The sequence below is a fragment of the Homo sapiens genome, chromosome 4 (genome assembly GCF_000001405.40).
Source record: "Homo sapiens chromosome 4, GRCh38.p14 Primary Assembly".
Taxonomy (NCBI): domain Eukaryota; kingdom Metazoa; phylum Chordata; class Mammalia; order Primates; family Hominidae; genus Homo; species Homo sapiens.
In genome coordinates, this window is record NC_000004.12 from 154,408,856 (window position 1) to 154,434,020 (window position 25,165).

Consider the following 25,165-nt stretch of genomic DNA (forward strand, 5'->3'; position numbering starts at 1 on the left):
CTTTTGACACCTACAGACCTCACCACTGGGAACATCTGAGGTTCTCACAGAGGCTAAGCCCAGATGAGTGAGCTGCGTGGAGTTCCCCTGGGGAGATGATGCCTTGGATGCCCAGAGCAGTCACACAAAATGGGCCTGAGATAAAGGAGCTCATCATCTCCTGTGGAATCAGTGCCTTGGACAAGCCAAGCAGTCAAGCATCTCAGGACTAAGCTGACGTGGAGCCCCATGTCCTAGAGAAACCGAGCATTGGCTGAGCTCAGACACCTAGTCCTACAGGCCAAGTGACCGCAGTACCCTGTTTCCCTGGAAGTGGAGTAGAGTCTGGGCTGCTGAGTCCAGGGAGTGGAGTCATTACTGTGTTGCCCCTGCCTCCCAGGGCCCAAGTGACAGCTATGCTCCACCATTCCAGAGTCCTTGCTGCTGCCATACTTGACCCCACAGAATCTGAGATACTGCCATGTCCCATCATCCCAGGGTCCAGAGTCACCATTATGCAGTGTCTTATCTTCTGGGGCCTGAGTTTCCACTGTGCCTTATTGGTTCTGGTTCCTAAATTGTGATTGTACCCTGTTCACCGAACTCAAACCTCCAGAGAATCTCTTCTTTCCCAGAGACAGGCCAGTACCGTGCTCTGTCCCCAAGGGTCAGCTACAACCTGGCCTCCTGAGCCTGAGCTGACAGGGGATTCCTCAGAGTAACAGATCCCAACGTTGTGGGTAATCTTCATCCAAACATGCCTTGGAGACTCACCCTGTACCCCAAGACCCTGGTGCCACAATAGGCTCATAAGCTCCTGAGCACAGGACTCTGGCTCCACAGCCACTCTGAGCATTTGTGTCCTGGAACCCAGCACCAATGCCGTTGCTTAAGGGTCATGTCAGACATGACACCAAGAGGGATCCCCTCAACTAAGATTACCCATTATAGGGAAAACAAGAAGAAAAGGTCCCAAAAGCCCTCACCTCTGAGGACCCTAACAACCTATGCTCTTGCCACCACTGCCACAAACTCCTGTAGCCTAGCCCACTGAAACACCATAGTCATCACTGACATTGATTGCAGCTGAAGAACCTGCACAGATGCTATACCACTGCATCTACTTGGAACCAAAGTCATCACACCCTTCCCAACTGGCACACTAAGACCCACCTGTAGTGAAAGTTTTTCCTTACAAAAGCCACTCCGTAAAGTTTGGAAGAAGTGATTATTCCACCAGATGCTCAGCCAGCAATGCAGGGCCACAAAAGAATGAAAAAGCAAGGAAACATGATACCACCAAAAGAACACAATGTCTAGTAACTGACCCCAAAGAAAAGTAAATTTATAAATTGCCTGAAAAAAAATTTAAAATAATAATCTTAAGGAAACTCAGCAACATACAAGAGAATACAGATAGAAAATTCAATAAAATCAAGAAAAAAATTGATTACTTTAATGAGAAATTCAGCAAAGAGATGGATATCATACAAAAGAACCAAGCAGAAATCTTGAAGCTGAAACATTCAACGAATAATATAAGAAATAAAATAGAGAATTTCAACAGTAGACTACATCAAGAAGAAAAAAGAATCTCTAAACTTCAAGATAGGTATTTTGAAAATACCCAGAGGGCAAAAAAAAAAAAAAAAGAAAATATAATGAAAAAGAGTGAAGACAGCTGGGCACGGTGGCTCACACCTGTAATCCCAGTACTTTGACAGAGCAAGACTCCATCTCAAAAAAAAAAAAAAAAAAAAAAAAAAATGAAGGCAGCCTATGGGACTCATGGGACACCAATAAGCAAACAGACATTCACATTATAAGAGTTGCAGAAAGAGAAGAGAAAAAGATAGGGACAGAAGCTTATTTAATGAAATAATTCCCAGAAGTTTCTTAAGTCTTAGAAGAGATACAGACATTGACATCCATGAAGTTCAAAAGTCTCCAAATAGATTCAATAGTTCAAAGGGGTGTTCTCTGAAGCACATTATAATTAACCAGTCAAAAATCAAAGACAAAGAATTTTTAAAGCAGCAAGAGAAGTGTCAAGTATTGACATATATAGGAATCCCCACTAGACTACTAGTGAATTTCCAGCAGTAACCTTGCAGACCAGGAGAGAATGAGATGTTATACGCAAAATGCTACAAGGAAAAACAACAAAAACTGTCAGTCAAGAATACTATACACAGGAAATACGTCCTTCAGAAATGATGGAGGAGATCCTGCCATTTGCTATAAATGCCATTTGCTATAAACCTGGAGAACATTATGCTAAATCAAAGAAGTCAGACACAGAAAGAAAAATATTGCATGATCTCACTTATATGCAAAATCCTTTTTTAAAAGGTCAAATACATAGTGATAGAGAATAAAACAGTGGTTATCAGGGTAGAATAGGGATGGGTTATCAGGTAGAAATAAGGAGATGTAGGTCAAAGAATACAAAGTAGCAAATAAAAAGAATAAACAAGTCTGGGGCGGGGCACTGTGGCTCATTCCTATAATCCCAGTACTTTGGGAGGCCGAGGTGGGTGGATCACAAGGACAGGAGTTCAAGACCAGCCTGGTCAATATGGTGAAACCCTGTCTCTTCTAAAAATACAAAAATTAGCCAGGTGTGGTGGCGCGTGCCTGTAGTCCCAGCTACTCGGGAGGCTGAGGCAGAAGAATCGCTTGAACCTGGGAGGCAGAGGTTGCAATAAGCCAAGATTATACCACTGACTCCAGCCTCAGTGACAGAGACTCCCTCTCAAAAAAAAAAGAAAAGAATAAACAAGTCTGAACAAGTCAAAAGACCTAATCTACAACACAAGCTATAGTTAATAACAGTGTATTATATTCAGGATATTTGCTAAATGAGTAGATTATAGCTGCTCTTGCCACCAGGTGAAGGGAAATGGATAACTATGTGAGATGATGAATGTTAATTTGTTCCACTACAGTAACAATTTTACTATATACAGTATATGTATCATATAACATCATGCTGTACACCTTACATATACAAAATACATTTTATTTTTCTAAAAAAGCCTGAAGGTTTTATTTATAGAAATAAAGAAAACACAATTTATTTAGTGTAAAAACACAGAATTATTCTTACATGCAATTGACCCAATTAACATTTTATAATGTAATGTTTATGGGTTTACTTTCAGAGGAATAGAGTTTAATATAGGGCTTAAATAATTTTTAAAAACTGAATTCTATGTACTAATTTACTGTATCATGCATTCTCAAATATGAAATAAATTTGATTTGGTTTAATTATAAGAAGAAAGATAGTTATAAGGGAAATACAGTTCCCAAAGAGAGAGAGAAAAAAAGCACAAAATTGCTAAGATCTCTTTTTCCAAGTGAATTCTCTCTTGTCAACATTGGGAATAAAGAGAAACCTCTGCATGTCTCTAAAGAAGCATCTCTCTGAGCGCAGAGCAAAATCTTCTTTCTCACCTCCTCTGTAGACGACCCAACAACGTTTTACCCCCATCAATTTCAGCATGTCCTCAAGCTGAGCCTTCAGAGTGAGTAATCCTCTTTTCAGTCTAGCTGCCTTTCTCATCCCCACCATCAAGACATTTGGAATTCCAGAAAAAGAGGAAGAGAAGGAAATGTTTCCACTGAGTGGAAGGATATCACTCTGGACCCAAACTCAATTTCAATGGGTCCCTCACCGAGAAAATGTTCCTCATCCATAATATACGCAAAACTGAAATCTTATTCACACTTGATAAGCAGTAGGTTGTCCAGTCAATTTAATATTTCAGCAAACGAGCACTTTTGAAACAATCAAACATAGCTTTATAGGACTAAAATGTGGGAGATCATTTCAGTAATCCCTTCTTCTAAGCTTTTCATACGTTCTTCCTAAGACAAACCAAGTCTCCTTGAATAAGAATAGTATCTGGCATATAACAAATGTTCACATAAGTGTTTGTATTATTATTACCTTGTTGAATTACTGAAAAACCCTGTGGAATGCTGAAATTCTAACTAAACTCCCTGATAAAGTAGAAAACATGGTCTTGTTCGACACAGTGACATACTGCTTACTTATTGCAACTATGCAAATCATGGGCGCTCAATAAATTTTTGTTGAAAAGCACAGAAGTAAGAAGAGAGGAGAAAGAGAAATAGAGAGGAAAAGGAAGAGGAGGAGGAAGGAAGGAAGCTACCCAGCATTGACAGACATAATCTTTACACTGGTAGGGAGGTTAGAAGAGAGCAGGCTTATTTTTAATTACAAGTCTGATTCTGAAAGGATTATAGAAACATCCAACCACTGGAGCCAATTTATTTCTAAAACATGTCCTATCTGTGCACTTTGGCCCATGACATTTTGTATTCCTGGCATGCTTCCTTCTTCCTTTCCAACTATTAACAATCTATCCATTCCTTAAGCCCAATTTCAATTATACTCACTCCATTAAATGTTTCCTCTTCTTCCAAAGTAGAAGCAATCTTTTCCTGTTCTCAAATGTTAAGAGTTATGGTGTAGATGAACACCACTTTTTGTCACCTATATCCAGTTCTATATTGCTACTTATATTTTCATGAATTTATTTTTGATCACCTTAAATAAACTGTCAGCATCTTTGAGACATTGCATTTTAGATCATCAAGAAATGCAAGTTTTATATAACATCTCATTTCTCTCTGATGCTGGATATCTCCAGGTGGCTCCAGAGCCACATGCTCCACCTTTCTCCCACTTGATCTGTGTCCCAGAAGGCTGACCTGTAGGGATGGATTATGTCATCAGCTCCCTTACCATCTGACTTCCAGTAGGTTAGGCCAATGGGGGAGCCAGTGAGTTTGGGTACTTACTTCTCCAGTTCCTTCCCTGCAGAAACCCAAGGGCTGGCTGAGGCCCTCACTGAAGGTCAGAACCCCTATAAGATGGCCCTCCTTACCTGGCCTCCCTGTCCTTCACATAACTGTGCCCTCCACTTTAGGGTTTACTTCTGTTACTAACCCCAAAGCACTGCATTACTTTATAGCTTCCTACCATGCCCTTACCCTTACCCTTGTAAACAGAACTTTTATTAAACTTTTCTTAAATTATACTAATTTGCATGCTCTGTCTTCTTGAGACCCTGGTTAATATATCTGCTTTATTTTCCTTCTTGTACTTAAGATCTAAAATAATCTTATTCATTTATTTGCTTACTGGGGTTTATTATCAAGACTCTTCTCCTCCCTACAAAAAAATAACAATAAATTCCATATGGCAGGCCTTTTTTCTTATTCACCACTATCTCCTCAGCTTCTAGAATAGGGCAGATAGAGGGCAAACAGTCAATAAATATTTCTTGAAGAAATAAATCAAATAAATCAATTATATATATATATATATAGAGAGAGAGAGATATAGATATATGTTCCAATTCAGAGTGATATCTCTTTATGTTTAGAAGAAGATTCGAAAACACTAGCTCAGTTACTAATCTACTTTTTCAAGATTTAAAACAAAGTACTAACTCAGAGCTTAAATCTAGCATTTCTTTAAACCCAATCAAAACACAAAATGCTTAACACTATAAATTATCCTCCTAGGTTGAGTTTCTAACATTAAAGGAAGCAAAGCAGAAAATTCCCAGAGAGTATAATATAAAGTGAAGACAAAAAATATCTCCATACAGCTTTCTTTTTTTTTTTTTTTTTTTTTTTTGGCCAAGGGACATATGATAACTGCCAAAAATTAGGCCGTAATTCAAGAAGCATTCCTGACATCATTGTACACTTGTTTCTCTACTCAAAACACAAATTTATCACTAACTGTCACTGGACTGCTATCCAACTACAACTTCCCCATCTCATGCATAAAACTATGCTTTTAAAGTACTAAAACATTAATACCCACCAAGATGGGGGATAGGCCTTTTCTTACATGAATATGTAAAAGTTGATTTAGGTATTCGTGATAGAGAAGTGAAAGGAAAGACTGAAAATGAGACCTTGCTCACCTCTTTCCTAAATGGGATACTGCAGGTTATAAGGAAAATCAAGAGTGGACAGAGAAAAGGGAGTTTAGAATGATCTGAACCTGTGTTGGCAGTCATGCCATTGGGGAACACAGCCATTCAACAGTGGAAGTACTTGCCTTCCTTGACAGCTGCTAAGAAGGTGATGCCGCGGCTACAGCTCCCAGATGAGCTCATGTGGGTATGGCAAAAGGTTCACCCCTGTAACATACTGTCCTCTTTAGCAGCTGTTCAACTGCCTAACACATGGCTATTTTCTCTGCCTAAATCAGTATCATTTAGTTATACTACTGAAGACCGGGAGGGACCTGATATAACTGATGCTATTTGCAAATTAATAGATGAGGGAACTAACCATAAAAATTTTTTCAGAAATCTGATACTAATTTGAACAGTATTTTCAATCAATTACAAGGATTCATTTCTAATCTTCTCTCAAATATTGATGAAACATTTCATAATTTGTTTTGACTTATACATAGATTTAATTGCATATACATTTAATTGGAGCCCATGACTCATTAGCAATAGAATTTCCTAACTTGCTCCAAATTTTCAGTAGCCTCAGGTTTCCCAGAGACCCAGCCTTTCTCAGTTGCCATGGATTTCCTGCCTCTGGGGGTGCCACCACATTATTACTTAGAGGCATTCCTACTCCTAAATCTGCTCTTGAATGAGCTGGCATTTGACAGAATTCCTCCTTTTTGGAGAAGCAACCAGAGGCAGTCTGAGATTATTCAGATATTTATCTTTGACTTCCGGTACTGGGGGAAAGACAGAAAGACTTAGCTAAAGAATCTCAAGTAAGCCTGACCTTGGGTACTGGAGACCTAAAGCTACGGTATCTCCAGGTCCCGAGCGTCAGTAAGATGGAGCTAATTAGGAGGAAACCGAGGTCGGTGAGGAAAATGACTATGAGATCAGATTCAGCCCAAAGCGTGGCCAGGAATCAGCTCCACCCAGAGGTCTCCAAAAAGTGGCAGAACACTCTGAGTTTTCTCCAAGGGAATTGATGGACAGACTTGTAGGAAGAAAACATAAATTCACTTAAATAAGTTTTTTACCTCTTCCATTTTATTATTTTTTAAATATTTTTATCTTATATATTTTAAATTCATATTTTATCTTCTATATTCATTTTTATTTCATGTATACATTCACATTTATACACCTGTATACAAAATTCTTGCACGTGGTTTATAAGGAAATAAACATATACTGGAGATGAGTACTCAAAACTTTTATTAATAGGTACATTCAGTCCAAAAAGTTTGAAGGCTGATGCAGTAGAACTGAGATGAGCACAAGAGAAGGGGTAGGAAGAGGGCGCTAAGTCAAATGGTCATGATCAGCTGTCTGAAAGTTGGGGAGATCCCACAGGAAGAGAGCCCAGAGACGGGGGACAGGATAGGCCCCGAGGACAGCCTGGAAGGAGGGTCCACACCAGAAACAGAGGAGCACAGCTGCATCAGCCCCGTCTTCTATTTCCTGCCAGAGGGACGCAGTTGACCTCACAGCGCCCCCACCTCGCATCCCAGGATCATTAGCAGCTGACAGCGCAGGGAGGCTGTGTTTATCCAACATCTTTTCTTTTTCTTTTCCTTCAGGCCTCTGGTGTTATTCCCCACCCGACGAGGAATACGTCTTCCTTCTGTTATTAAATCTTCAGGCTCCCTGAGTCCTGCTCCTATTGTTTCCTCTTTTGTGCCATCTGATCCTCCAAACACCTTGTCCTAGGCTCTAGCCGGACATTTCTGACATCTCAAGACTTGAGACTTTGATTTCTGAGCCCCTCAGATCACACGGTAACTCCACCCACTTTCCTAAGCAACCAACTTGGTACCACAGAAGAGGAACTGGGGAAAATCAAACTGAATAAAAACACTTATAAATAAGCTAGTTTCCCCCTGTGTAACAGCACGGTTTCCCCGGTGCTGCTTGTTTAAATCTCCGAGCTGGCGGCGCCAGGCAGGAAAGTGTCTGCTCCAGCTCCTCGCTGCACCTTCCTCACATAATCTTGGCGAACGTTCACATTTCCAGTCAGCGTGGCTCATTTTATTTCCCAGATGTTTTTACACTCCGAGGCCAAAACTAACACGAAATCGCTCCTTTCCTGTCACCCCCGGCCTCTGTCTGTCCCCGTCACTCCCGTCCTCCCATTACCCTCTCCCAGCTGCAGGGATCACGGACGCCAAGCGGCACTATTTTACTAGGAGCTGCAACTACAACCACAGGATCGCGGCGGGGTCGCCCTCTGTGAGAAGCCACACAAACGCGAATCACATGGCTAAAACCACACAAAAACCACCTGTCACCACCTCAGGCCGGTCCCGAGTGTGTGTGTGTGTGTGTGTGTGTGTGTGTGTGTGTGTGTGTGTGTGAGAGAGAGAGAGAGAGAGAGAGAGAGAGAGAGAGAGAGAGAGAGAGACCAGTCAGGGGAACTGGGAGTCATTCTTCCCGTTTACAGTGCAGACTCCCAAGTGCACTGTGAGCACATTTTTGACAGTTTAATGTTCAGGATTAGTAGCCTTACCAGACTTCCTTGGCCAAATTCAAGAACTATTTCCATTTAAGCCAAAGCACTTTGTTATTACTCAACAGTTGTTTTAATTAACTCCCTCAGAGCAACTGTGGCCCCAATAAGCTGCTTCAAGGGAGGGATCTCACGATATTTTTTGACCTCACACGAGAAAAACCTACAAACATTAGTAGTGGACTGGTTAATCTGAGCTGTTTCAGAAATCAAATTGTTTTATGCACTATTTGGGACATGATTATACTAAAAACAAAACAAAAAACTATTCATTGTTTATCTGAAATTCAGATTTCACTGAGCACCCTTTTTCTTTGCTAAACTGAACAATCCTAACATGGCCAGGGGGAAAAAAGTGTCCTGGTTCTGTGAGAATCAGTGTTGTCTTAGGAAGACCTGGAAAACAAAACATAAAATCCTTCTAATAGCAGAAACTATCTTAAAAATCAACTAGGCTTTCAATTCTCTTTCTATATTCTACTACCAGAATATGGTATTTTCTCAACTTTCAGAGAACAAACTAAGTTAATTAAAATTTCTCAATGTTAAGCTTTTTTTCCCAATATTTTTTCTAACCATTTCATCTTTGCTTATTTGCCAGCAAACACCAGTGGATGTCAGAAAAAGTGAACAATCCTTAAATGATATTAGTAGGAAAAATGACCTACCCATTCTTAGTTTGGAAGGTTGCCTTTTTCTGAACAAATATTCTTATTTTTGTAACATTTATATTATATGGTCAAATTTCTGTCGTACAATTATTTCTAGTTAATACAATAATTTTAAATGCACCTGTAGGTCATGGTATTCTTCTAGGGATATAGTTATCAGAATAAATGTGAAAACCAGCAAATAATTGCATGTATTTCTTTCATATTACATATGTAGAACCCGAGGCTCAGAAAACCCATGAATGTGCCCAGAGTTAGGCACATGGCCCCGCTGTATCAGCACTAACGCCAGGTGTCTCAGTGCCCAGCTCACTACCTGATTAAAAACAGGACACTACTTTTCAAATGGCAGAAGCCCCTTGCAAGGTGTCGCCAGCTGAGAGTGCCTTTAATCCACTCACTAAGACTCCCTTTTCCTCTTCCACCATTTAGAAAGGATGATTATCACACCACTGCAGCTAAAACATAAAAGAACATATCAAAGGAATTTGTAAAGTATTTATTAAAAACATTTATTTCAGAAGAGCCAATGTAACAAAATTTTGCTATTGCAAAATTGACACAAAATGCCAGTTGTTCTCCCCTTTTAGATCCATGCACTCTTTTTAGTTAAGCATTTTGTAATATCTCCTTTTCTACCCTGATATAAATTTTTTATGACATCGATATAATGTCCTAGCTATAATATAAAGGGAAAATAAAAGTGATTCATAGTAAAATATCATGTATTTCAATATGTAATTATGTAGGTATGACTACAATAGGAAACACAATGAGATAGATATTTGCACATATTTTTAATGAGTAAGTTTGGAGTTATGAGAAGACACCATTCCATAAGCTTTTGTACATATTTTACAATTTGAAATAAGGACTAAATAAAGCTGTATGCATAGAAAAACAGCATGAATGCTGAACATGAATGAATGCTTCATATTTGACATTTTAAAAGAAAAAACAAGCCTATATGCATGTGTATGTGTGCATGTGGGTGCACATGCAAACACACATGCAATCAGCATGAATGTAATAGCTACAAAAATAGGCCTCCTGAGTAGGTGACTCAATTTAATAGGCAATGCTGCCATCAGTGACGCATTTTGCAAAATGGTAAAGTTACAAATAAAGTTTCATCTTACCTCAGTTTACTTAGTAGTTGTATTCTTGGGTAATTCAAAGTATATAAAGTCAGCACAAAAATTATTTTGTGTGTTTATACAGAAAATAGAGTAAGGTTCTGGACTTACGTAGGTTATTATAAGCAGGTTTTTCACCTGCTTGGATATCAAACTACTCATTCAAAATTTATGAGGAACTCAAGCAACTTTTACATTGTGTGAAAAATGAGATGCAGCAATTATATTTTAAAAATGCTACTTTGTGAGGCTGAGGCGGGTGGATCACCTGAGGTCAGGAGTTCAAGACCAGCCTGGCCAATGTGGTGAAACCCCATCTCTACTAAAAATACAAAAGTTAGCCGGGTGTGGTGGTGGGCACCTGTAATCCCAGCTACTTGGGAGGCTGAGGCAGGAGAATCGTTGAACCTGGAAGGCGGAGGTTGCAGTGAGCCGAGATCACACCATTGCATTCCAGCCTGGGCAAAAGAAACGAAACTCCATCTCAAAAAAAAAAAAAAAAAAAAAAAAGCTGGATGCCATTACGAAGGATGTGCAGGACACTAAAGGAATATAGAGGAAAGGAGTCATCTAAGTCCATATGAAGATGGTGAAGAAGGTTTCCAGGACAGAAAGCAGGGTGATGCTAGAACTAAATGTTTGAACTAGAACAAGACCAAAAAAAAAAAAAAAGCCAGAGAAGAACGTATGAGTGGACAAGGATTGGGGCATGAGGGACTGTGGTGTGTAGGGGGAAGTGGACATATATAGGCAGGGAGGAGATGATGAAAAATCAGAGTATATCCTGGAGTCCTTCAAGCTGGAGTGACATCCAGTTTGCATTTAAGAACATCCTTTTTGGTAGCAGTACAGAATGGTTTCTAAGAAGGTAAATTAGATAAGTTAGGAGATTGTTAGTTTAACACAGGTAGAAATAGTCAAGGCTTAAAATAACAGCCATGGGGGCTGACTGAACAGGGCAGACTTGACATATATTTAGAGGTAGATTTGATGGGCTGGGGAGACCAGATGGAGAGAAGAAGTGAGAAAAAAAAGGAGTCAGAGTTCTCCAGAGAAACAGAACCGATGGGAGACAGACAGACAGATAGATAGATAGATAGATAGATAGATAGATAGATAGATAGATAGATAGATAGATACGTACGTACATACATACATACATAGATGGATGTGAGAGAATTTATCACGGGAATTGGCTCACACAGTTATAGAAGCCAAGAAGTTCCACAATGTGCTATCTGCAAGCTGGAAAACCAAGGAAGAGAATGGCATACCTCAGTACGTGTCCAAAACCCTGAGAACCAGAGAAGACAATGATGTAACTCTCAGTCCAAAGCCAAAGGCCTGAGATTTGGGGCAGGACACTAGTACAAGTCCCAGAGTCTAAAGACTGGAAAACCTGGAGTTCTGATGTCTACAGGCAGGAGAAGATAGTCCCAGCCCCAGGAGAGTCAGTGAATTCACCTTTCTTCTGCTTTTTTGCTCTATCTGGGCCCTCAACTGATGGGATAGTGCCCACTCACATTGGATGAGGGCAGATCTTCCTTACTCGGTCCACTGATTCAAATGCAATCTCTTTCAGAAACACTCTCACAGCCATACCCAGAAGTAATGTTTTTCCAGATACCTGGGTATCCCTTAACCCAGTCAAGCTGACACCTAAAATTAACCATCACACCCTCATAGTAGGACAATTGTAGAGGACTGGTAGCTATGCAGGGAAGATACTCTTTTGGCATGAGTGGATGGTGCATACTAACTAAACTAGTAATTACCAAATTACTAGTGCCTACTTGTAACCTGGTAATTACTACTACTGCATATAATATATACACTACCATCATTGGAAAAAAAAGGCTCAGAAGTCACACTCACTGACAGTGATTTGAATAACACAATTCAGCAATTTTTGTTGACATAGATGCTATGATAGGTATTATCTAGATACTGGGGAAGCATAGTGAAGAAGACTCAAAATGCAGCTTTATGGAACTTTAGCTACATAGAGGACTTATAGAAAGTATCCTGAGAGCAGAAACTGGTTTTCATTGATATAATCCTAGTTGTAGCATATTGCCTAACAAAAAGTAAAAGGTCAGGAAATATTTATAATATAAAATACTTCATTAAGCATCGAAATACTTTATTAAAGAATCACTCCTTTGCAGTCTGAAAGTTTCCTCTCTTTATTAGACCCTTCTCATCTGTGTTAATTTAATTTAATTTAATTTAATTTAATTTATTTATTTGAGAAAAGTCTCACTCTGTCACCCAGGCTGGAGTGCAATGGCATGATCCCGGCTCACTGCAACCTCTGCCTCCGTGGTTTAAGCGATTCTCCTGCCTCAGCCTCCTGAGTAGCTGGGATTACAGGTGCCAGCCACCATGTCTGGCTAATTTTTGTATTTTTAGTAGAGACAGGGTTTCTCTATGTTGGCCAGGCTGGTCTCGAACTCCTGACCTCAAAAAATCCACCACCTTGGCCTCCCAAAGTGCTGGGATTACAGGCGTAAGCCACCACGCCCGAACTCATCTGTGTTTAAACACGCTTTCGTCTGCTTTAAAAAATAAAAACACTACCTTGCACCCATTTTCCCTTCTAGCCACAGCCTTTTCTCTCTCCATCCTGTTGCAGCTGAACATTTCAAAATGGTTTTCATATGCTCTCTTTCTATTTTCTCACTTCTCACTTCCTCTTTAATCTGCTGCAATCTGGTTTGAAATCCCATCACTCCATTGAAGTAATTATTGCTAAAATCACGAATAGCCAAAGTTGCTACATCCAATAAACATTTTCTATCCTCTTTTTATTTAATCTCTCAGCATCATTCAGTAAAGGTTGCCACTCTTTACTTCATGTTGGAAAGTTTCTTCGCCTAATTTCATTGAATAATACTCTTGATTTTCTTCCTACTTCTCTAAATATCCTTTTTCAGTCTCCTAGGCTGATGCACCCTCTTCTAGTCAACCCTAAGTGTTAGAGTCCCTCCAAGGTGGGGTCTTCAATCTCTTCTTAGGTTATACTCTCTGCTTAAGCTATTTCACCTCTGCCCATGATCTCAAGCCCATACGATGCCAGCTTTTGGATTTTATCACCTGTCCAGCACATTCATCTGAGCTGTAGTACTCTAAATACAACTCTTCAGCATCTTCACTTGAGTGACCACAGCTCCCTCAAACTCAATATGAACTCATCAAGACATACTGGTCAGAAACCTAAGAGTCACCCTTGAGTCACCCTTTTCTTTACCCAGTAACCCACTCCATCAGCAAGTTCTATTGCCTCTACATTCAAAATATATCCTGAAACATCCACTATTCTCCTTCTCTATCAGAACCCTGGGCTATTACATTAATCTCCAAAGGTCTCCCAGTTTCCATTCTTGGTCCCCATCCAATCCATACTCCACCCAAAACAAGAGTGATCTAGAAAACATATATATACCCATTCATGATTGAAGCTGTTTAGTAATCTTCTGTTGTTTTAGCATAAAAATCAAAGTCTTCTATGTGACCTGGCCTTGCTGCCTCACCAGGCTTGCTCATGATGCTCTCCTCCCTCAGCCCCATGCTCCATTCCACTAGCCTGTCAGGTCTTCAGATGTTCTATGTGCTTCCTGCCATAGGCCCCAAGCAATGCCACCCTTTCTGCCTGGAATTCTCTGTGGCCCCACTACGCTTGTCCAGGCAATTCCCACGCATTCACCAAAGCTTAGCTGAAGGGACACACAGTCAAAGAAACCTGCCTGTCCAGGCGTGAAGTCTCCATTGTACACACTCAGAGCACCCAAGACTCCTCCTCCATAGCTCTGTCCAAAATAATTTTAACAGTGTTATAACTGTTAAAATTTTATGATATGTGAAATATAACTCACATACCATAAAATATATTTATTGTATTGATTTAAAATATAACTCATACCATAAACTCCACCCATTTAAACTGTACACTTCAATGGTATTTAGTAGGTATGTAAATTTTAGAAGTTTTCATCACCTTGAAAAGAAACTCTGTAGCCTTTAGCTATCACTGCCTGGCCCTCCAGTCCACTGGCCTAGCCCAATGCTAACATTTGACCAATTTCTGCCTCTATAGATTTCTGTATCCTGGACTTTTCCCATGAAAGGAGTCATGTGATATGTGGTCCTTTGTGACCAGTTTCTTTCCTAGAACATAATGTTTTCAATGTTTATCCATTTTGTAGTACGTGTCAGCACTTCATTCCTTTTTATGACCCCCAAATTATTTTTCATAGTTGAATAATTGGTTGTCTCTCCTGCTAAAATGTAAGTCCTACAAAACCAGAAACCATGTCTCATTGCTTCCCATATCACACAGAGAGGTGATCAAAAATGATTTGTTGAACTACTAACAAATCAAAAAAGTGAACTTGGCTCAAAGCCTATGCAATACATCACTCCAATTTTGAAGGCTAAGAATCCAGCTGAGCTTCTTTTCATCACTGAAATAATAAAACTCATTCTGCATTCTATATTGGTACATTGTAGCAATAATTAGAGAATAATTAAAATCTAGGAATATACCCTCAAATTTATGTTATACAACTCTGTACGCTTTTCTTATATGCATATGTTAAAATGCATATACTTATACATACTTATATGCATGCATTAAAATGCATATAAACCACTTGGGGATCTTGGTAAAGTGCAGCTTCTGATTCCCTAAATCTGGGATGGAGCCTGAGATTCTACATTTCTAACAATCTCCTGGGTAACGCCAATACTGCTGGTCCAGGGACCAAACTTTCAGCAGGAGGGTCTTAAAATATCGTGGTTTATCTTCTTCAAGCCTGCTGGCATTTTAGAAATATCTTCAAATCATTTTTGATAAATTATTGTACTTACAATATACATGGTAGGAGCTTAACAAATGCTTGATGAATTAGTACTTAGTAAATGTATAAATTGCTTCCAGACATAACAAGGTTTCATTGCTGCATCCTTGGTCTGACTTATGTGCACAAACAACAAAAAAATAGGGCTGAAACATCAAGTAAAAGCAAGGAGCTTTGAAAATCAAAGAATTCAAGAAAAAGAAAAAGTAAATCAGATCCTAAACTACTGTAATTCAGGGATATAAGTACAATACGTTACTAAGCTGAAAGTAAAGGACAGTAAAAAGGAAGCCAGAAAAGAACATCTTAACATTCCAAGCAAATGTGTGTACTCTCTAAAAAAGAAATAAAAAGCTTCCCTTGTCTTTATGCAGTGATTAGAAGGAGCAAAAGAAAATGAGACAATTAGGATGTGCAAAAATGAAACTTTACAGTGGATAGGAAAAACTGTGCAAGAACCAGAAAATGAAGATGAAAGCAAGCTACAGATCCAAACAACTAAAATGAGATCTCTTTTGAGAACATGAATCAGGCAGACATTAAATTGAATTACTACATCAAACCAGAATCTCTTGGATTTTAGAATAAACAGCACAAAGGCACACTGTGAAGAAGTAAATGAACACTGACACTGGAGGTTCTAAAAACTGCAACTTGTCAGAAACCTTATAGGGTCTCAGTAAATTAGCTAGGTCTAAGTGTTCAAGTAAGCCTTTACTTCAAATCAGATGTTTGGCAGAAAACAGAAAGATTATCTTCATTCAAGCCCTCCTATTTAAGATTCAGGATTGTGTTATCTGAAAATTCTGTGCACTCCTCTATCACAAGGTAATGGCAGCTGGAAGTCTCCAGCTACAGAGACCCTTCCCATGATAATGACATCTGCAACAGGTACAGAGTCAAAGATAACCATGAACACAATAATTCACTTCTGGCAGCTCTATTTCTTTTTTAATTAACATCTTTTCCAAGCAAGAGAGAAGACTGCACTGCAGAAAGCAGATTCCTGATAAGCACACCTTGACAGCAGCAGATAAACAGGATCGCTGGGCTGAGGGATCACGGCCAAATAACAGGTGACAGCAGTTATTCACCATGGCTGTGCAACAGGATCTAGAGGGGTCTACCCCTTCAGTACAGAGATTGACAATGGAAGTCATCCCAAAGTCACAGCTGAATGAAAGGATGAACTTCTTTTCAAGGCTCCAGCCCCATCCGAAGAACAGGTAGCTCTGTACCATGCCTGCGTTGTGCAAACGCTTAGAGCCCTTGTGGTTATACCCAGTCCCTCAAGTAGCGTGTGGAGGACTCTTCTCTATATTTAAAACTTCTAAGCTAAGTAAAATTTCTGAGCTGAGTGCATTTCTTCCAGATAGGATAATTTAATCTACCGAGGTCACTTGCATTTCCAAATGTTGCTGAAAAACATCTAGAAAAAGTACAAACTCACTGCCCTATTTAGAAGCCAAATGCCAATTAGCAGGTGCCCTTGATCATTGAAACCAGAGCTGTGAAACTGACATGGTAGTTAGCTCATTTGGAGATCTCAGCCTTTAACACTTAGCAGGAACTGAATTTCCATTCCACCCGATCTCTACATTATATAATAGAAAGTGCATTTCTGGTTCATCAGGCTCCACTTAACTAAGGCAAAACACACAGCTCCGAGGGAACTCGCAAAGCCACAATGCTTAAATGAACCATAACCAATTTTTAAACAGAGCTTTTTAAAAGTAATACTGTCATCAGCTTCTCAGTGTGCACACCACAGACCCCTGGCCCCAGCCAAGTGTGGCTAATTGCATCTTTGCTTGGCCCACCCACAGTCTGAGAGCTGTTCTGGCCCTGGGCAAAAAAATGAGGAAGAATTCAGTATCACACTCAATTTTACTGTTAAAGCATTCCATTATCCTGCCTGCACCTTTAGATTTGGATGCTTTGGAGCCCAGGCTACATGGATCCCTGGGCCTTTCTTTGATCGCCCTCCCCTGCCCTATTTTTTGTTTCCTTCCTTGATTGCCCTCTTGGCCTCTGTTTTTTTCTCAGGATTAATGTGCAGCCTGTCTAAACCAGAACTACAAGCCAGACTCTTCCAGGGGCTTCAACACTGTTCCCTCACTGCCAACCCCCACCCCAGACCCCGCTTCTACTGGCCTATTGCCACCAAAGTCCTTGAGTGACTAACAGGTGACAAAAAATTCTAGTTCATTTTATCGCATCTAAAAATACACTGATATATCTCATGTCTTCTTCAATTAGTTTTTAGTGGCAGACAGTGTAAGGCTGTAGTGAATACCTAACAGAGAAAAGTTGCCATCAGTTGGTGACAGTAATAGTACCATAGATTCTTTAAAGTCACCTGTTTTCTCACTTTGCAGTCTTTAGATTGGGAGGCATTCCATTCATCATGATGATCTAGGTAACATAAGGGAATAAGCAGGAAGCTACACAGGTCTCCGCATAAGGTTATATATGAAGAATTGTAATACAAAGTGCAGGTCCACAAAGGGGAGAAAAATGCCATGTAATCAGTACAAATATATAACTAGATAGAATAAGATTGAGTATTTGACAGCACAACTGGGTGACTATAGTCAACAATAACTTATTGTACATTTTAAAATAACTGGTCAGGTGCGATGGCTCATGCCTGTAATCCCAACACCTTGGGAGGCTGAGGAGGGAGGATTCCTTGAGCTCAGGAGTTTGAGACCAGCCTGGGCAACATAGTGAGACTTTGTCTCTACAAAATAAAAATAAACTTAAAAATAAAATAAAATAACTAAAAGAGTATAATTGGATTGTTTATAACACAAAGAAAGGATAAATGCTTGAGATGATGGATTCCCCATTTACCCTGATGTGATTATTATACATTGTATGACTGTATCCAACTATCTCATGTGCCCCATAAATATATACACCCACAAAATTTTTACATTTAAATTTTTTTAAATGCCATACAAAATCAGAAGAGGTAGAGATTTCTCAGAGCCACAGTGATTCATGAATGTTTCACTTGATAAATGTTTGAGGTGATGGATAGGCTAAACACTGTGATTTGATCATTACACACTGTATACATGTATGGAAACATCATAAGTACCCCATAAATACATACAATTATTATGTGTCAATTAAAGAAAAATAGCATGTTTCACTGAGAAGTGATAAATTAAGTCTAGCCTAAAGCTGCCTCCTTACATATTTTAAGTTCAGCTTTAAGGTTTCTCTGTACACAGTGAACTGTAATCTAACTGGTGTATAAATAGACTAACTTGCTCTTGTACCACCACAGAGTTTCAGCCACTCACAGGTGAAATGTTCAAACTGTGTTAAAACAAGGCAAACGCCGAGCTCTGACCAATCTAACAGCTCTAAGAGAAGAGCTGTTCTGTACCACACTTCTCTTTTCCGTATGTCACTTTCCTTTTTCCATCCATGACTATTGCCCGACCACGCAGCAACCCCAGAGCCACCCTGAACCTATTCTGGTTCTGAGGGCTGCCCAATTTGCGAATCATTCTTTGCTCAATTAACTCTGTTAAATTTAATTTGTCCAAAGTTTTTCTTTTAACAGAGGTAGCATCTGAGTTATGTCTTGAAAGATGGGAAAATTTAGTCTTATTGAAGTAAAAGGAAAGGGGATCCAAGACAGAGTGAAATGAAAATGCCAACAGACAGAGGTGATAGTGTCCTGATGAGAGCAAAGGCTCTGAGCTAGAAAGAGTGGGTCTGAAGACTCCTTCTACCACCTCCCGTCAGAGAGACCTGGGGAAAAGCCCATAATGTTAACTACCTCTCTCTCTATCTGTAAAACGGAAAATATAAAACTTTGTCACATAGGAATGTTGTGATTGAAATAAATAGTAGAAACAATCAACAAAATCAACTGCTCTATACATTGAGAGCAAACAAGGTATAGATTATTCATTCACAGTTCAGCTGGAGAGAAGTGCATATGAAGGCAGTCTGGAGATGCGGTCTGGAGCCATGCCATGTGGTTCTTTGAACTCAAACTCAGGAGGCTACAGCCATTGAATAGTGAAGAGCAAGAGAGTCATAGAACTGGAGCTGAGCTTCAGAGTAACTTAATTTGGTAGAAAAAGGAAAGGCAGACTGGAAGAGAGACACATTGGAGATATGAAATCTAGTAGATATAAAGCAAGTCATACAAAAAAATAACAAGGGTGAAAATAAAAAGACAGGGCCAATTCTAGGTGCGAAAAAACACTGGCCAGGCAGAATGGCTCATGCTTATAATCCCAGAACTTTGGAAGTTGAGGCGGGAGGATTGTTTGAGGCCAAGAGTTCAAGACCAGCTTGGGTAACACAGTGAGACCCCCCATCTCTACAAAAATAAAAATTAGCCAGGCGTGGTGGTATGTGCCTGTGATTTCATCTACTCAGGAGGCAGAGGCAGGAGGATTGCTTCAGTCTAGGAGTTCGAGGCTGCAGTGAGCTATGATCGTACCACTGCACTCCAGCTTGGGTAACAAAGTGAGACCCTGTCTAATAAAAACAAAAACAAGAACAAAGAAACAAAACATAACTGCTGAGGTTTGGTAAATATGTGGTTGTTGAGGCCAATGAAAATGAAAAAAAGGAAAGTGGATACTGTAATCCTAGCACTTTGGAAGGGCAAGGCGGGTGGATCATTTGAGGTCAGTAGTTCAAGACCAGCCTGACCAACATGGTGAAACACCGTCTCTACTAAAAATACAAAAAAAATAGCCAGGCATGGTGGCACGTGCCTGTAATCCCAGCTACTCAAGAGGCTGAGGCAGGAGAATCACTTGAACCCAGGAGGTGGAGGTTGCAGAGAGCTGAGATCGCACCACTGCACTTCAGCCTGGGCCCTGGGTGACAGAGCGAGACTCCATCTCAAAGAAAAAAAAGGAAAGTGGGTAAAAAGGCAAAGCTACTGATAGAGAATCAAAAGAAGGGGTAAGTTTAAAAAAAAAAGGAGATGAATGAAATTAAGTTCAGGGTTTTAGCAGAATATTTGATAATGGTTATAAACACACAAAGAAATCTTCAAAAGCAAGAGTACAACCTGGCGATGGTTTATAAACTGGGTCAGTTATGTCCTATGCAACTATGAGGGGATATCGTTTAATGTCTCTAATCTGGCTTATGCATACAGCTCTCCTATTTGCTGGCATAGAATGTGAGTGCCTATTGGGCCACTTTTGGTAGACAGAACTGGTGCTTCGGGATGAACACATGACAGCAAATTGGAGAGCCGAAATGACTGTTCATCATTTTTTTGGCTGCTTGACACCTACTCCCCCTCTTTCCTTCCTTTTGTGGGGGACATCCTCAGTGCATGTGTTTTGATGGGACGCCAAGTCCTACTTCTCACTTCAAAAGCCAGAGGAGGCCAGATACTCCCTCTCCTCATTCTTGGCAGATAGACTGCAGACAGGTGTCCTAGGCTTAACCAAACAAAATGTTTCCACACAAAAACTTAGATTTGTGAGGAAAGGACACATGGAAAAGGAGGCAGCGTAGAACTCAGCCTCAGCAGCAGCACCCAGCGGCAGCACATTTCTTAGACCATCTTGGCCATCTGACCCAGCTCTCCCAGTTTCTGCCCAAACCCTTATTCTCATTTTCTAGATTTTAGATCAATTTTTTAAAGTTACCCAATATCCTTCCCATAAGTTTTTTTTTTTCTATTAGATATGGTCTGTTTCCATTGTCATATAATTTCAAAATTTCAAAACTTCTCTTCTGTCATCAATGTCTCCTGTGTATAACAAGCATCATCCAGTAGTGAGTAGCCACGACTCTGGAATAAATCCCTGCTGGGCTTTTCCCCTAGCTCTCCTCCTTACTAGCTGTGTAATCGTATGCAAGCCACTCACACACTGTGCCTCAGTTTCCACATCTGCAAAATATGGGTCATAACATTAACCCATGTCATGGTGGTGTACGAATAAATGAGATAATATAAAGGGCTTACCACAGGGCTTGACACCTAGTAACCATGAATGTTGGGGGTGATTATGATAGTGGGATGACAAGAGTAATGTAGGTGTCTCCTAAATAAGCCATGATCTCTGTCCTTAGCACTTTGGGACCTAAGTGAAGAGGCAAGAGGCATACATGTGAAATATTCCATAAGTAGAAAAGAATGGCATAGCATGCTTGCAGATGACACAAATGTGAGTCTAAAACCTGTTGTCATGTCAGTTCATAAAATGCTCTTTTTTCAACCAGCCATATTTATGCCACTGAAATATTAGGCCATACCCTACAGCCATGAAAAGTTTTCAGAGTCCAACTGAGAACTTCTGACAGGCTAAGATCAAAAGAGAAAACTAGAAAAAGGCATTCATTTCAAGCCTGGGCAGCATCAAAAATCCAAAAGCACTCCCCAGGAACATGAGTCTGTTTCCATGTGCCCTAGGGATTCTAGTCAGGCATATGGAGACCCAAGGCAGGATAAAATTAAAATATGACCCCACAGGATCCTCCCTGGGGAACGTGGGAAATAATTCCCCTGGATGAAGAGTTAACTCCAAAAGGAGTCTCTTCCGTAGAGCAGACAATGCTGTAGAATTCTTGGACCTGTTCTCACAGCAAAAGTCTGAATTATGTATCTTTTAAATTCTAAGCATGAGTTGTGTGGTGTAGCATCTATCAATCTTCTTCAAAATGTATCCATCCCCCACTTATCTAAAACAATTACTTATAGGAATTCAATTTCAGGATCATCTAGTACATTGCTTTTGGGGATTCAATTTCATCTTTTCACTCTAAATTCCCAGTTGTTCCAGCACCATTTTTTACAAAAGACCATCCTACCCTGTGGCCCTGCAGAGCCACTTCTGAAATAAATCAAGTGTCCACACGTGCAAGTGCTTCTGGGCTCTCTTCTGTTCCATTGATTGATCTGTCTATTCCCACACCAGCAATGCCCTATCTTAATTGCTATGCTTTTATTATTAGCCTTCTTATCTGGTAGCTCAAGTCTCCTCACCTTGTCCTTCTTTCAAACATCTCAATTATTCTTAGCTGTCTACATGTTTATGTGTATTTTAGAATCAGCTTGTCAAATTCTACCCAAAAAAATCTGCTGAGATTTTTCTTGGGATTGCATTGCATCTAAAGATCAGTTTAGGGCAGCATTAGCATCTTTACAATATTGAAAACTAGAGTGAACAGACCTCAGCTTGGATGCAGGCGGGGGGAGATTTAACACTAAATTTTCTAAGTTTGGACAATTACAGGAGGGTGGGGATCCTGTTTACTGAAACAAGGCAGTGTGTATGACTTAAAGAAATCATAAAACTTATTTCATAAAGAAAACATAAAACTTATATCATAAGCGGTAGTACTGGTTCAACATACCAGTATCATTCAGCACTAACATATACTTTTCTCTTTTTTAGATACTTATATATATATTGTTAGATATATCACACATCTTTTGTTAGATATATTCCTAGTCATCTTCTTTTATATTTTCTTATTCCTTATATTATTGTATATAGGAATACTCCTGAGTTTTTATGTTAATCTTATATATTGTAAAAATCATCTTATAATTAGTTGATATATTTTCTCGGAATTCTCTATGCAGATAATAACATCAGTCCCAGTTAAATCTCTTCCAGGACTTGTAATGGCGTTTCAGGATTCTTGTCCCATGAGGACATAGGGATATCATGATTCTAGCCTCAAAGCCCACAGATGGCCTGAATCAGTTTTTGGTCACCTGGCTCTAAGTTCCCAGACTCCATGGGCCTTCAGCCTTCTTTACATACAGAAGCTGAATTCTTAGCCATCACTTTCTGCTTTCAGACCATCCCAAGCCGAATGCCCAATAAGCCTAAGGCTTTGGTTCCAATGAACATTTAAAAAATTTCTGTCCTATTTGTATTCCACAGAGAGGAAGGTGTTCATTTGAAGCCTGGATACATATTTTTGTTTCATATTTTAATATTTACCTGCCATTGTTATTTGTTTATAAAGAAGGGAATGCATCAAGGTATAAACCACCTGTGCCACTTTGTCAGAAGTTAATACAACCACCCTTACTATCTCTCGACTATGGGAAATGTTTTGAACAAATACTGTGTGCAAAATAATTAGCATGAAGTTCTAAGAGATCATAAAACAAATCATTTTAAAAAGATGATGTTAGCTATTTTGTCTAAAGAGCAACTTGAATAGTCCATCTTTTTACATATTCTCCTGGAGGCTGCAACATGGATTATATCTTATCTTTATATTCCTAGAGTCAGGCATGCAATAATGCTAAAGACTCTCAGCTTATCTACAACTATGATTTGTCAATTTAATTTTAAAAAATTAAAATAAAAACTCAGTGGTGTGCTGGTTGTCTTAAAACAAGCCACATAACTTTCAGTGCCTCATTTTCTTTATCAGGCAAAAGTTGTGTTGTAATAACAACTATTTCAAATAAACCATGATGACATATAAGTTGGGAGGAAATAATAGGAGTTAAAGGTCTTACATTGTTCAGTAAGAGAGTAAAGGTCCTAATTTGTTTTAGACTTTAAGTTAAATACGCATGTTAAAATAGGCCAGGTGAACACTAAAAGAATAGGCACAAATAATAAAATTTTCAGGATAATGGAGTAATAGAATGAAAAAAAAAAAGATGAGAAAAAGACAGAAAATCTCAATCAATCCAACAGCTGTGCCCCAGATCCAGTCCTAACCCTTCTCCACTAGGATCTGTGCCCTTCAAGCCTAATCTTGCATGGACCACAGACTGAGGTTCCTTTGCTTCTGGAGTGAGCTCAGCCATCCAATAGGAGAAAGGATAAGAAAGCAGAGAGAAGAAAGGGAGGGAAAGCAGGGTGTCTACTCCCTAGCTCCATTTTACAGGGCCTTCAGCTTCTAGAGGGAAGGGTCTACAGATCTCTCTCTCTATATATATACACCTGGTTCCAGTAACTGCTACCTTCCTCAGTGGGTTGAATCATGTCCTGCAAAAAGATGTGTTCAAATCATAAACTCCGGTACCTGTGAGTGAAACTTTATTTGAAAATAGGCTCTTTGCAGATATAATAGGGTTAAGAAGAGGACATATTGGATTAGGCGGACCCTAAACCCAATGACTGAATTTTTATTTATAAAAAGAGAAGAAAAGGGACTTCAGTTACAGAACCAGAGAGGAAACAGGCCATGTGACAATGGAGGCAGTTTGGAATGATGCAGCCACAAGCCAAGGAGGGAGGAAGGATTACTGAGAGTCCCCAGAAGCTTGGAGGAAATGAGGAAGAGCTCAACCTTGGAGCCTTCAGAGGGACCATGGCCCTGCCAAGTACATTCATTTCGGACTTCTCATCTCCAAAACTGTGAGAAAACAAATAACTAGTTTTTTTTTTTTCCTTTTTTTTTTTTTTTTTTGAGACAGAGTCTTGCTCTGTCGCTAGGCTGGAGTGCAGTGGCGTGATCTCCGCTCACTGCAACCTCTGCTTCCCGTGTTCAAGTGATTCTTCTGACTCAGCCTCCCAAGTAGCTGGGCCTACAGGCGTGCGCCACCATGCCCGGCTAATTTATGTATTTTTAGTAGAGATGAGGTTTCACCATGTTGGCCAGGATGGTCTATGATCTCTTGACCTCTTGATCTGCCTGCCTCAGCCTCCCAAAGTGCTGGGATTACAGGCATGAATCACTGCGCCAGGCCAGTACCCGTTGTTTTAAGCCACTCAGTTTGTGATAATTTGTTGCATAGCCCTAGGCAACTAACGCACTCCTCTCACTAGGCTCCTGCAGTGGCCTCGCTGCTCTCACTGGCTCCAGGCCACCTTCTATCTCTTGTGGTTTTCCTACACTTTGTCCATGCCTTCATATATAGTCACTAAACAACAATCTACAAATTGCCAAATTACCCAGTTTCAGAGTTCATCAGTTTCATGCCAGAACCTTGACCAATGCAGAAAGCAAAAGAAAAAAGGAAAAAAGAAACACAAAAATCTTGACAAAGAGAAAGTGCATATGATGATAGATGAAG

General features: G+C 39.8%; 1 protein-coding gene across 2 annotated transcripts in view, besides 2 other annotated features; it reads right to left on the reverse strand.

The window, feature by feature from the left end:
* DCHS2 (dachsous cadherin-related 2) overlaps nt 1-25,165 on the reverse strand; it is a 260,058-nt gene that overhangs the window by 177,114 nt on the left and 57,779 nt on the right. The window lies entirely within an intron of this gene.
* Nucleotides 7,339-7,558: an enhancer, noted in NCBI's record as "active region_22074". NCBI's record gives its function as "activates an Ori minimal core promoter by ATAC-STARR-seq in GM12878 lymphoblastoid cells {active_cell/tissue: GM12878}" and the evidence as "EXISTENCE:reporter gene assay evidence [ECO:0000049][PMID:35858748]".
* Nucleotides 7,846-8,347: an enhancer, noted in NCBI's record as "H3K4me1 hESC enhancer chr4:155337853-155338354 (GRCh37/hg19 assembly coordinates)". NCBI's record gives its function as "activates a minimal SCP1, AML or CMV promoter by ChIP-STARR-seq in primed H9 embryonic stem cells {active_cell/tissue: H9 hESC(primed)}" and the evidence as "EXISTENCE:reporter gene assay evidence [ECO:0000049][PMID:30033119]".